The following is a 14,078-nucleotide window of genomic DNA, read 5'->3' on the forward strand; positions in this document are numbered from 1 at the left end:
TCAATGTGAATGTTCAAATAAAATGTGTGGATATAATATAGTATTTAGGGGGAGATTTGCAGAATCTGTCCTATGTTCATAACTGAATGATTAAAGCTTTGTCAAAAGTTCACAACAGTTGAGGAGAAATTACTGTATGCCTGGCTTTGGAGGGTAACAATGTCTTCAGTTTGTTTCACAGACTCATTCTTTATTCCTGTGTTTTGTGTGTGTATGTATGTGTCTTTTTTTTTCTTTTTTATATCATGGCATACGAGCAGACATTAATGAATGTGAACAAGTGCCTAAACCTTGTGCACATCAGTGCTCCAACACCCCCGGCAGCTTCAAGTGTATCTGTCCACCAGGACAACATTTATTAGGGGACGGGAAATCTTGCGCTGGATTGGAGAGGCTGCCAAATTATGGCACTCAATACAGTAGCTATAACCTTGCACGGTTCTCCCCTGTGAGAAACAACTATCAACCTCAACAGCATTACAGACAGTACTCACATCTCTACAGCTCCTACTCAGAGTATAGAAACAGCAGAACATCTCTCTCCAGGACTAGAAGGACTATTAGGAAAACTTGCCCTGAAGGCTCTGAGGCAAGCCATGACACATGTGTAGGTAAATGTCAGCCATATTACATTTCCTTTCTGTGGGCTCTCTTACTGATCAAAGTATGTGTACAGCACCTGTGATTGTTTGAGTGCAGTGAACTACATCTGATCTCAAGTTCGGAATGACTCAAAATTTCAAGACATTTATTTTGGCACCTAAAACTATTACAGACTTGAGTCAAGTGAATTATGGATTTACATGTGGGCATTCTAATAATTTATTGTGTTATAGTCAGTTTCTTTTTGGTCACCCTGAAGGTGTTACTAAACTTAATACTAAATAGAAATAAATTTCAGTGGCATCCAGAATGTAGTTTATTTAAAAGAGGATGTAAATATTGCCACATAACGTAATGCCATCAGATTATGGCCACATCGGATTGATGGAAAAGCAGTGGTTTAAAAGTGAAAGTTTCAGCTTCTCGGTCGACTGCTTGTTCTGTATAACAACCAACATCCCATTGACTGTTGCTCCACAGTCCTCGTGGAATTGCTGTTTGATTATTGTGTATGTTTGTACGTCACTGAAAAGATAATATGAGTTGGGACAAAATTAAGTTGTTTCTATCACTCTGAAATATGTGCTTGCAGTATCTTTATCTAAATTCACAAGTCTATAATTCCATTTGTTTGCAAAAGTGAAGTATAATTTCCCACTTAAGAATTGAGACCTTGTTTTCAGTCGAGTTGCAAACATTACCATCTGTCACTCATTTAACTCAATTTTCTGTGAACATCTACAATTAGCATGTCATTGACCTACTCAAGGGGAATTAGCAAGCAGGAATTAGTTTTACTATTTGTTAGCTGGAAAAAATAAGCAAAGAAAGAACATAGGAGAGAAGTAAAGAGGGAGGGAAGAAACAAATTCCGTTTAAATTCAAAGCCCACTATGCCAGCCTCATTTTCTTACATTTCTGGAAAGCGTTCTACACTTTGCTTACTCTCTTAACTATGCTTTTTGCTAAACATTTTTTAAACATTTCTTCTCCTTCTATCTTCAATTTTTTTTGTTTCTTTTTCTACCCTTGCCCAAGCCCTGTTACTTCATTATTATCTTCTCAGATGGACTTCTTGGTCAACCTTAGGTGGATTCATCTTCCCATATCATCTCCACTCAGTTGGGCCCTCAGTCCCTCTGGACACTCAAACTTTACCCTTTGCTTTTTAGGTTCATATTTTTTCCAGCACTTTTCTGTCTTTTTTACCCTGATGTATCTGCAGCTTAATATAAGGGATGTGGAAACTTCTCCCTCGTGATTAGCTTACCAGAATTGTTGACAGTGCTCATTTCTTCTACCACCAAACATTAATGCATTAACAATTCTCTACATTTTGTCCCACGTGGTCAAATACTGTTTAATTGCTAAATATGTGGACTCCAGTATTCTTGCTAGTATATTAAACAACACTGTCAATCTGCTACAAACTGTTCTGAGTTTTGGGAAATTTTATGCCCACAATTTTGATCTGACTCTTCATTAAAGTTGTTCACTATTCTCTTATTGACAGAATTAACATCTGATATTTTGTCTTTCAAAGTTTCTTCCAAATAGTCATCCCCACTAGAGGGTTTTCACAGCCTAGGTAATAGGTTACCATCCCATTCTCAACCTTCATTTTAGACAAGCACTTTCTTTTGTTCTACCTTTACTTTCCTGCCCAAAAATCTGTGTTATGAAAAATAAATTTAGCCACACCCTCCACACTATACACCATTAGCTGGTTTCTTCCAAATTATCAGAAGGTCCAAGTTATTTTAAGAAAGCTTCCTGATTAATAACCCACTTCTCTACTTCTTCATCACTATCTATGGCTGCAGTTTCATCATAGTAGAGTCTTATAAATGTTTTCTGTCTTCCGTTTATGTTAAACCAATGTTATGTTATCACAATCGTCTTCCTCAGACAGTCATCTGCTATTTGAGGCAGCCACTCTTTCACAGTAAGGGTCAATCTTGGAGAATCTAAAGTAAAAATTTATAGCTAGTCCATTACTGGATATTTAAGTTTCTTTGGAGGCAATTCATAGGCTTAAACATTTCTTAAAATATGGTATTTTATAGTATTGGGACTAATGAAGAAATATACAGTAAGACTGCCTACAGCTTTGGTATTACACAACAAGACCAACTTGCAATAAGCACCAAATGCTTTTAATGAACTATCTGGGACAGACAAGTTATAAAAGATTCAAATTAACACTATGAAATCTTGTTAGGCTTGGGCTAAAGTTTAGTTTTTGAAGAAATTGATTCTAAAGCATAACAGGAAAAATGACCATTGCATTGCTTCTGAATGCAGAAATCACACTTGGGGGTAGTGTAAAATTCATGCTTGGGAAAGCTCTGTGCTAACAACTTGGAGTTCAACATCATTTACATTTCTGTTATTTTAGGTTAAAGCTGATTTTAAAGGAAAGAAGTAAAAACTCACACAAGTCATAGAATCAACACTTTGGTTAACTAGTCTTCCACTGGTTGGTGTATGCTCAGAGACTATGAGCAAATTTTAATTTTAGTTAAAGCAAAACACCACTGGGACAAGAAATCTTCAGCCTCCCAAATCACATACTTTATCCTTAAAGCAAATATCAATTAATTTTGAATTATCATCTATTCTCACCCTCCTTTTTTTGCCATTTTCATGGCTTTGTTTAATAATAGCAGATAGCCCTTTATAGACTACTTTCCCACATATTACTGTATATGAACCTTTCAACAAAACTGTGAAGTAGGGCAGATGGTCTCAAGTGTCCCTTTTAACAGAAGAATAAATGAGATCTTGAGAAGTTAAATGGCCTGCCAAAGGTAACACAACTATATATGTATGTACTTGTCATTAGTACGTTTGAATTGTATAAAAAAAGAGTATTTTTGTCACAAAAATAAAAAACATTTCCATGTGATATCTGTGTATGGGAAAGCTATGCATGAGTGGGGCTGCAGGGAGAGAGAAAGAGAGCCAAAGTTTAAATACAATAAAAACAAATAGTCCTTTTTGCAAGTAATCTCAATAGGAATATTGTATTTCAGGTAATTTCTACTATTCCTTAAAGAGTTTCATATTTTGGTGGTTTAGGATCCTGTCTACATTTGTTTCCTCTGTCATGTCACTCTTACTTAAGTAATATAAAAATTGACCCGTTTGGGACTTCAGCATATATGTGCTTACACAAAGAAATGTCCATAATTTGTAATATAGTACTGTGTATATAGTACTATATTCAGTATTTTTATAACATAAAAGTATCTTCATAGAAAATAGCTCTGAGCATTTTTTAACACATGAGTATAAAATCACCAAGAAGTTTTTCTAATGTATATCAACAACTTGATGAGAGTTGGCTCTGTCACAGTGTCTGCTTTTTTCTTGTGTAGTGATAACTCTCTGTCTTCTTCCTGAACAGATATTGATGAATGTGAAAATACAGATGCCTGCCAGCATGAGTGTAAGAATACCTTTGGAAGTTATCAGTGCATCTGCCCACCTGGCTATCAACTCACACACAATGGAAAGACATGCCAAGGTGAGAAAACATTGGGATGTTTATTGTTGCAAACTTGACTAAAAACCAACAGAGAGTGTGAGAAGTTTTTTTTCAATAATCATTCTCCTAGTGGCTTCCCCTTCTTACCCATTCCCGTGGGTCAGAATTATGTTCAGACATTGCTTTTGCAAGCAGGAGAAGCAATGGGAGAGGAAGCAAGCAAAGAAAATAGCTGAGAAACATTTTTGGTATGGTCTTACTAGAAGGAGCAAGAATGCCTAAGCCAGTTCATATTATATATTTTTAAAACTTAATGGGAATAGATCTCTTCAAACTTTTTTACAATTCCACTAAAATGGAAGTGAAAAATGAGAAGGTTACTCAGTAAATTTACTTCAGTGTTAGATATTATTTTATATGTTGTCCCTCTTATTAAACTTATTTTTAAAGTGATCAGTTTGGTAGTCAATTAAATGATTCATTCATTCGTTGAGTCTACATTGATGTGGAACAATTATGTGCTAGCATTGCAGGATTTAAACAGATAAATAAGATAGAGTCTTCCCCTTTAAGAGTTTACAGTCTAGTGGAGACAGACATGTAAATAAAACAAACAAAATATAGCTCATTGGTTTTATAACAGAGTTTTGGGCAAGATATAGCAATGACAAAGAATAAAACATCAATCTCAGTGGTTCCCTTTTTACACAAAAATGTGAAAGGAGCATTGTAATTTGGTAAAGTTGATTATATTGCAACATGTACTTATATTAAGGAGAAATAAGAACTTGTATAGCTCCTAAAAATCTTCTAAGAAACCCTTGAATTTTGTAGACAAAATCTAGGAGTATTATGTGGGTCTTAATAAGCTTTTGAACTGTATTAATTTGTGTCATGGAAAATTATATCCTTTTGTAAAGTATAGCAAATAAAAGCTCCAAAAGAGTGCTTTATCAGCAGCAATCAAATTTAGATTGAATTTTTTTCTCTTTATGGGATTCACAAAAGACTTGCTGCAATGCAGCTTATGGAAAATGGGTCCCAGGAGGCAAAACCAAGGTGGACAATGGCTTCACCCTAGTTACTGTGAACACTGCCACCTCATCCCACACCACCCTACCCCACCCATTTACTCATTCACACTCCCTGAGGGCCCCCACTGGGTCATGTGGGCCAGAGATGAAACATGAAGTTGAGTAATAACTTTCGCTTTGGGCCATCAGTCACCAAATATTTCTTAAGAACCTACCCCATGCAGAGAGTTTTACTCAGATTTAAAGTACTGGAATAATTTATTTAATCATATTGTTACCTTTTTCCAAAGCAACTGTTATTTCACTTTAATCAGCAGTATAAATATGTCAAGGGCAATAATTTGCACCCATTCTAATGGGCACCCATTAGATAATTTGTACCCATTCTAAAACTAATTATCAGAGTGATTATGTGAGCCTTAATGTCCTAGAATAATCAAGAGCAGAGGTAGGACTTGACCTCAGATCTATATGTCTAGAATAGTCCTTTGTCTCCTGGGATGCTGTGAGCACCAGGAGCATTGCACTGAGGCGGCAGGATGGGGTGAGGGCACTTTGTCCAGATATTACCACTTTTCCCCAGTTCTTCAACCCAAGAGTCTTCCTGAAGGAGTGGCGATGCCCACACTAAAACCACACCCCCTCCAGGTACCCCAGGCACCAAGGAAGGCAACAGGGCAGATACCGAAGCATTTGGAATAACCACTCAAAACGCACAACCCCTTAGCCAGATTTTATTCTCATTAGAGAATTTTTCTCCCTTTCTAAATTGTGCCAGTTTCTTTTTTTAATTGCCTTTGTCACTCACTTAGTTCAAAACGTTCTTCAGCTTTCAGTTGTGCTACAGAGAGTGGAAAATGACGTGGTCAAATCAGAAACAGGTGTCACTTGAAATGTCTGCAATTTAAATGGGTTACATATTTTTGTGGTTTTAAAAAGACTTGAGAGAAAACAATTATGCCTTTTTCTTTGCCCTGAAGAATAACTTGCATTCTTTTTATAGTTTTAGAAAGTGTTTGAGGCATTTATAAGGAACCAAAGACTGCTTTTTATTTGCATATGATTTTTTGAAAGATTTAGAAATTACTGATACAAACGTCAATAATAAAAGGGAAATTAAAGTGAATTTGACATTGAACAAGGACAGACACTCTAGTCAAAAGTGAAAGTCACTAGACTGCAAAATAAACAAAAAGCATGACCAATCAAGAATTGCCTAAGACACAGAGAGGAGAAACTAAAGGACCCTTATGCTAATTTTATGCACCACTAATCTACTTCTAAAAATTTGGAAACATTCTATGAGCACTGCATTTAAAATAAGTGCTCTTATTCATCCGTGTTTTAAAAATGCAATGCATAATGTTTATCAAGAATCTAAATTACTTATATTTTCTATAAGACAGATGTTTCAAGTATGTTTATCCTAAATTTTTTAGTATTCAGAAGCACTAGGTTAAATACATTCATATGTTCTGAAGCTGTTAATATAAAAATTTTCAGCTCATTTTGGGATTCTTTTCTTGTAGCAATATTTATGTTACAAAATACTTTCATTTCAATCATAATATTCTTATATTTAATAGAAACCAGACATCACATCATCCATGAACAGAAGACAACACAATTTCTATTTCTTTTTCTGTCTTCTTTTTTTTAAGAATAGTGAGTAGAGTAAATAAGTAGAGTGACTGGATTCCTAGAGAGAATGCTTCACCCTGAGGAGAGGGTAATAGACCAGAGACAGAAGAGGGCCACCTGCCCAGCACCTCAGTACTTAGGAAAGCTTTTTAATAGAAAGTGTATATTTCTATATTAGATTCTGATATTTCTTTATAGATTCATATTTACCCAATGAAAATATATCATAAGGTAACTACTAAATAACAACTTACTATGCACACTGATGTGCGTCCACCTTCTAGTCTCCACACCACTATCATGGACCCCTGCAGCCCACTGGCTTCATGTTTCTGCAAGAGTTCATGATGAAAATAAGATAAAATGTGGACAATGAATATGAAGAGAAATTTTTTTAATGCGAGAAGGAAGATAAGGCTAATTGAATTTCACATTTTTCTAGAAGGCTTTTCAAGTCACTGAGACAATCTTATTTTGTCAAGGAGATTAAGCCCTCCTGGCTGATAAAATCATAATTAGAAATTTTTTCACAGAGGCAGTAGGCAAGACTTCACTGAAAAAGTTTGTCCACATTGTGTTTCATTCCTGTAGGAAAGCTAATCCTAGTATAATACTAGTAATAGCATATACATCATTGTCAGCACATATAACTAACTAAAAAGTTATTTACTCCGTATCATTCTAACCCAGTATCTTTTTACTTTGTGGAGACTGTTATTGTTTTAAATAAATACTTACATTGTCTGTGGTTTCCTTAGAAGATGTTTGGAGCCAAATCTAAAATGCTTACTTTTGTATCAAGTCCCAATATAAATACCATTATCCAACTACCAAATTATGTACTACTGTACAATGACATCGTAGTAACACTGTTCTCAGCACAGCTTCCATGATAGAAGTGCATTTGACCGTCAGGACCCACCTGTGGAGAACCAATTTACTCCATTTAATTGTCATTTTTCCCTCTTGTATCTCAGGACCAATGCTATATGCAGCCAATTGACTTAGACTTTGAAAACCTTATACTTTACTCATACTTTAAAAAATTAACCACTAAAGTTTCTTATAAGTTTAAATAGTTGCAAAGGATGTGAATTATGGCGTTGTTATACAGATTGTTATGTTAATGTGCTCAAGCTTTAAATATATTTTCATGAAAACTTCAGAGCTTCAGATTTAACTCTCTCGGTTAAGGGAGGATGGCCACTATATAATTTGAAAGTCTGTATTCGTTGTCAAATTAATCAGATTTACCGTCAGAAAAAGTCTAAGGTGATTTTTCTGTTCAAACAAAAATGTTAGTAGGTGTCCCCATGACAACCAACCCACTTCTGAAATCTAATTTAAAATAGAGAGCTAATGGGAGGCCGAGGTGGGTGGATCACCAAAGGTCAGGGGTTCAAGACCAGCCTGGCCAACATGGTGAAACCTCCTCTCTACTAAAAATACAAAAATTAGCCAGGCATGGTGACGCATGCCTGTAGTCTCAGCTACTCTGGTAGCTGAGGCAGGAGAATCACTTGAGCCCAGGAGGCGGAGCTTGCAATGAGCTGAGATTGCACCACTACACTCCAGCTTGGGCGACAGAGTGAGACTCCGTCTCAAAAAATAAAATAAAATAGAGAGCTAAGACCATCGGTTTGTGGCCATGATAAAATAAGGCCTGCCAGCCACCTCTATCAGTCTTTATTACCAATATTCTTATTCTCTGTTTATCCTCTGAGATTAGTTGCAATCTGTTTTTGTAAATCAGAAGGTTGGAAACAGGGAGATGGGAATAGAGACCTCCAGGCCATGAGATGTTCTCAGGCAAATTGACTTTAGAGAGGAGAATTATGGAAAATGAGATTATGGGAATTGATTCCCTGAAATATTTGCCTGCATTCATACTGCTAGAAAACATTCGTGTATCACCAGGGGAACGAGGATGCCCCAGTATGAAAACCATTGCTCTAAAATACCATTCTTACATTTGGGATCTTAAAATTCCTTAAGAATTGTATTGAACTCCATGGACCCTCTTTCTTGAAAATCCAACCATCAATCAATCTCACATTCTCTGTCTCTGTCTCACACACACACACACACACACACACACACACACACACACACACGCATGCAAACATTTTCATTCACAGATCCCCTGATGCCCAAAAATAAACCCCAAATTAAAGTGGTGGCTCAAAAACACTTTCAGGAAGCACTTAAGTGTGTTTCTACTTAACTTAGTGTAGAAAACAACAAAATAAAGAGTATTTCTTTTGCGTATTTTCCCCATACCATTAGCCTAAGGAGAGCATCCCACTACCAAACAACAGAGGATAGACTCAACACAGTCCAGATCAAGGTGAACTGCTCCATTCGATCAGCTTACATTGTAGTGCCTGGGCCACTCATTTGATCCTGCTTTGTTTGTCTCTCTCAAGATCTGACTAGCCTGTACCATCTCTCCTGAATTCATAACTTGACTCCTTTCATATCTAAGACCCTATTTTCCACTCAACAATTTGACATTATAAAACAAAACACTCAGCAAGGATCACTCACATTTTAAGGAGATTCTTCACTTTGCAAAAAATATTCACAAATGTCCTTTAAATTTTTGGCTTGTTCATAGTGCATTTAAAATATTTCTTGCTTTATAAAACTCAAATGCAAGGTATTCCCCAAATATAAAAAGCACCAGAGAGCTCTTAATATCTCCCCATCACTTTTATAGCTCTCATTTTTTTTATGTCCTTTCACATAAAGAAATATGTGCTCGAGGCAACCTGGGAAATAACCCTGCCAGGTGTCATGATCCCCATTTTGTGGTTAAAGAAGGTTAGGTATGACTAAGTTCATTCATGGCAGGAGAAGGCTAGCCCTCCACATTCTAGTCACACATCTACAGTGCCTGCTCTGATGGCCTTCTCTCACCCTCACTGCTGATGCTGCATGTTCCCTGTGCTGTCCCTAGATATCGATGAATGTCTGGAGCAGAATGTGCACTGTGGACCCAATCGCATGTGCTTCAACATGAGAGGAAGCTACCAGTGCATCGATACACCCTGTCCACCCAACTACCAACGGGATCCTGTTTCAGGGTATGTCTTGCCTTCTCATCCCAGACATGCTTTTGAAAATCCTTCCTCCCACTCCTTGACCAACATAAACTTTAGTCTCTTGTCATGTGTAACTCACAGGAAGTCACTAACTCCAGGAAGATGTGGGGTTACAGTAAGTATTCTCTTCAATGAATGGGCAAGAAATGAGCTCATCCTGCAGCAGCCACTGCCACCCAAGCTCACTCTTGGCTGCCAGTGTTGCCTGGAGCAGTCTTCCCAGAATATAACATGTAACATGGTGGGTTCTGCCTCAGCAGCAAGTGTTTGATGGAGTGATAGAGCCTGCCTTTCTTTAAAGTTTTTCATTTCTGTTGTGTTGCCTCAGGGTGGTAAGGGCTCTGCACACTTAGAGCCCACCATGAAGCATCTTTTCTGTTGCTTCACTGACTCACCGCTCCTTGAGAACGGAGATGAGTGAGGAATGAGTCAGTTGTCTGCCCGTTCATACATCATCTTGCTTATATTTCCTTCTGTCTGAAACAGGCTTTTCTGCATTCTGAATAAACTACCATTCTGTTTTCTCTCTCCCCTTCCAGAAATGTTGTACTCTATCCAGGTACCAAGTTAACAGGGTGATTGAAAACAAGTGATAATATTCCTCTTGGATAGGCCCTGCTAATAGGAAGGTGTTTCTGAAACCAAATACTGGCTGGAGCTCACTTTGTTTTCCTCTTGGTAATGCTTACCAAGTTACTGCAGCATAGTCAAGTGTGGACTGCCCAGAATCCACCAAAAACCTATCTGCAATTGGTCTGATGGGACATGGAATAGGAAGGAGAAAATTGAAAATACAGACTTAACAAAACCTCTAAAAATACTATTACTGAAGAATCCTATCTTCATAAAATGGTTCTCTGTGCATTTTTTCCCTTCTTTATTACCATCGGTTTCTGGCAAACAATTTAAAAGTCATCATGACTCAAAAAGCAGTCAGTGTGCACTCTGGTAAAAGAAAATAAAGCTTTTTAATCTACAATAATGTGAACGACAATTACAAAAGAAGTACCCCTTTCTCACCAGAAATCCTAATTGACCTTTTATTATTTTTAGAAAAAATGTCAATATATTTTGTTTCACCTTTTAAACAGTGTTAGGATACTATATAATTAAAAAGTAGCTTGTATTCCTCTTTAAGAAGTACTTGTTTCCAATATATATGCAGAAGCTCTTGTTTCCAAAACTGACTTTTCATTTTAAAGAAAATACTCTTGTGGCATTCATACTTACTTCAATGGCTCAGACACTTCTGCTTTTAATGGAGCTGCAAGATACGTATTTGACTTCACACCAGCATCTTCTCCTAGTCATCTGGTGTCTGGTTTGAGTTAGTGACACAGAAGACGACTGAGTCTTACCGCTTTTACAGCCAGGCTGCCTACTGCATGCAGTGCCTAAAAGTTGTCATGGATCATGATCACCTATATCATGCCTCCTCCTACTTCCAGATAACTATGTGTATTTGATATGTTTGTTGTCCTTAGGTTCTGCCTCAAGAACTGTCCACCCAATGATTTGGAATGTGCCTTGAGCCCATATGCCTTGGAATACAAACTCGTCTCCCTCCCATTTGGAATAGCCACCAATCAAGATTTAATCCGGCTGGTTGCATACACACAGGATGGAGTGATGCATCCCAGGACAACTTTCCTCATGGTAGATGAGGAACAGACTGTTCCTTTTGCCTTGAGGGATGAAAACCTGAAAGGAGTGGTGTATACAACACGACCACTACGAGAAGCAGAGACCTACCGCATGAGGGTCCGAGCCTCATCCTACAGTGCCAATGGGACCATTGAATATCAGACCACATTCATAGTTTATATAGCTGTGTCCGCCTATCCATACTAAGGAACTCTCCAAAGCCTATTCCACATATTTAAACCGCATTAATCATGGCAATCAAGCCCCCTTCCAGATTACTGTCTCTTGAACAGTTGCAATCTTGGCAGCTTGAAAATGGTGCTACACTCTGTTTTGTGTGCCTTCCTTGGTACTTCTGAGGTATTTTCATGATCCCACCATGGTCATATCTTGAAGTATGGTCTAGAAAAGTCCCTTATTATTTTATTTATTACACTGGAGCAGTTACTTCCCAAAGATTATTCTGAACATCTAACAGGACATATCAGTGATGGTTTACAGTAGTGTAGTACCTAAGATCATTTTCCTGAAAGCCAAACCAAACAACGAAAAACAAGAACAACTAATTCAGAATCAAATAGAGTTTTTGAGCATTTGACTATTTTTAGAATCATAAAATTAGTTACTAAGTATTTTGATCAAAGCTTATAAAATAACTTACGGAGATTTTTGTAAGTATTGATACATTATAATAGGACTTGCCTATTTTCATTTTTAAGAAGAAAAACACCACTCATTTTATAAAATATAGTACAGCTACTATAAGGCTTGTTTGATCCCAAATGGTGCTTATCTTGATTGAACATTCAGAACAAGGATATTATTTTCAGTGATTTTGTGAGATCAGCTGAACCACTTATGATAATAATAATAAAAAAGACTGCTTTGCCCTCACGTCAGTTGTACATGGCATGGAACTTTAAAAATTTTAATATAAACTTTCATCCAGTTAGCTTCATAACTTTTACGTTCCAGAATTTTGTTTATTTTCCTGTCAATGAAAGCAATTTTTAAAGATACCAGTGGGACAGATTTGGTTTTTTAAAAATCTCATGTGTTCAAATTAACATAAATATTACACGTCAATACACTGTACATGGTGGTAATAGACTCTAAGCAATTGCCAAGATGTATTCTATTTTTATGAAGTGTATATATATTACCTTAGTGTGCATTTTCTATATAATATCTTGATGGACTCTTTTATAAAATTATTTTATAAAAAACAATGTTACACTAAAATCAGCCTAAATAAATTTTCACAACTTTTTTTCATAACCTTTTGAAGAACCTAAAATTCGTTTCCTTGCAGCTAAAACAGGGATTAAATTTAAAGTCGTACACGTAAACAGACACACAATCATGAGACCCCTTGAGAGAGAGGTAGTATTACTCACATTGTATAGGTCAGGATCCTAGGACAGAGGTAACTTATGTAACTTCCTTAAGACAGGACAGCTAGTGAGTGGCAGAAATGTCATACCTTCCCTGTCATGACTCCCACTGCATGAGTTTTTTCATCTACCTAAACAGCATTTTTTATATCTTATCTCAAGTGAATTCATCTTGTGTGATATTAAACTAGTGAAGGCCTAATTGTGACCTATGATTGAAGGATTTTTAACCTAGAAACACGTTATTCAAAGAAACCTGGAAAAAAATATCCACTCCATAGTCCAGCTGTCAGGCAAGTGATTGACTAAATCAGTGTTTACCAAAGACTGTTCTACAGAATACTAGTCTAGTACAGGTGTTTTTAGTCACAAGCATTCTATGATCAAACAAGTTTGAAAAATACTACATAACATATCCTCCTATTAAAGATTATCTATCGACACTAACAAAGAAACTTTTAGAAGTTCTGCAGTGAACAGGATGAATTTATTCAAGCCAACATTTTCTGAAAGATTTAATCCCAAATCTTTTTTCCCTAATACATTATCTCACTGAACACTTGGGGAAATGCTGATGTAATACAGTCAAGACGTCTGCTTCATGCCTAAATCCTTAGAAAGGACATTTTTATAACTAAGTACTTTGGTAAACAACTCCAACACCTGACCCTGATCATTGAGCTTCTTTCTAAAATTAAACCACATTAGTTTTGCTCATTTCCTCTGTGCAATATTCTACAAGCATAGAAATTGACAGGACAGTGACCAGACACGAGCTACTGCATAGTCATTAGTAGGAACAAACTTCTGGTTACTACAGTATTTGATTTGGAAATTCCTATTTGGGGAGCCAGAAGATCCAGCCAGAGTCTTGACTTTAACCAAGTACTTCTGACAACATTTCCTTGAAATTTATCTTAAGCATGCCAGTGGTTGAGCAGAGGTAGGCAATGAGATCAATCACCAACCCTGAAAGTTCCCTTAGGATACACGGCAGGGTGGGGAAACCCTCCTTCATGACATCTAGCAGAGCTGCGAGGAGCAAACCTTCATCTTGTATATTGCTATGACAGTCCTCTGAGCCTGCAAATTCCACAGATACACTAGATAGGATGACTAGCAGAAAGGGGAAGGTCTCCAAAGGAAGGAAACCAAGAGAGCAAATGAG

The 14,078-nt window shown here is 36.9% G+C and overlaps 1 protein-coding gene and 1 long non-coding RNA gene across 5 annotated transcripts in view, besides 1 other annotated feature; one reads left to right on the top strand and one right to left on the bottom strand.

Moving 5' to 3' along the window:
- The window catches only part of HMCN1 (hemicentin 1), a 456,559-nt gene extending 443,765 nt beyond the window's left edge, over positions 1–12,794 (top strand). For 3 of the 4 annotated variants that reach the window (NM_031935.3, XM_017002437.2, XM_047431608.1), the window contains 4 exons: positions 261–611; positions 4,013–4,132; positions 9,728–9,854; positions 11,357–12,794. In NM_031935.3, coding sequence (NP_114141.2) covers positions 261–611; positions 4,013–4,132; positions 9,728–9,854; positions 11,357–11,723 — 965 coding nt within the window. In that variant the 3' untranslated portion in view covers positions 11,724–12,794. The remainder of the gene's footprint in view (positions 1–260; positions 612–4,012; positions 4,133–9,727; positions 9,855–11,356) is intronic. The other variant, XM_011510038.4, reaches the window with a different exon arrangement.
- On the bottom strand, positions 5,952–7,593 carry LOC105371654 (uncharacterized). Its single transcript, XR_007066772.1, has 3 exons — positions 7,507–7,593; positions 7,023–7,100; positions 5,952–6,024 (listed from the first exon to the last, which is right to left on the bottom strand). It is a non-coding gene; the product is annotated as an uncharacterized LOC105371654 (long non-coding RNA).
- Positions 9,349–10,548: an enhancer, noted in NCBI's record as "P300/CBP strongly-dependent group 1 enhancer chr1:186156636-186157835 (GRCh37/hg19 assembly coordinates)". NCBI's record gives its function as "activates an origin of replication core promoter dependent on BRD2, BRD4, P300/CBP, MED14 and CDK7 cofactors, with strong dependence on P300/CBP, by STARR-seq in HCT116 cells {active_cell/tissue: HCT116}" and the evidence as "EXISTENCE:reporter gene assay evidence [ECO:0000049][PMID:35650434]".

The sequence above is a fragment of the Homo sapiens genome, chromosome 1 (assembly GCF_000001405.40).
Source record: "Homo sapiens chromosome 1, GRCh38.p14 Primary Assembly".
Classification (NCBI taxonomy): domain Eukaryota; kingdom Metazoa; phylum Chordata; class Mammalia; order Primates; family Hominidae; genus Homo; species Homo sapiens.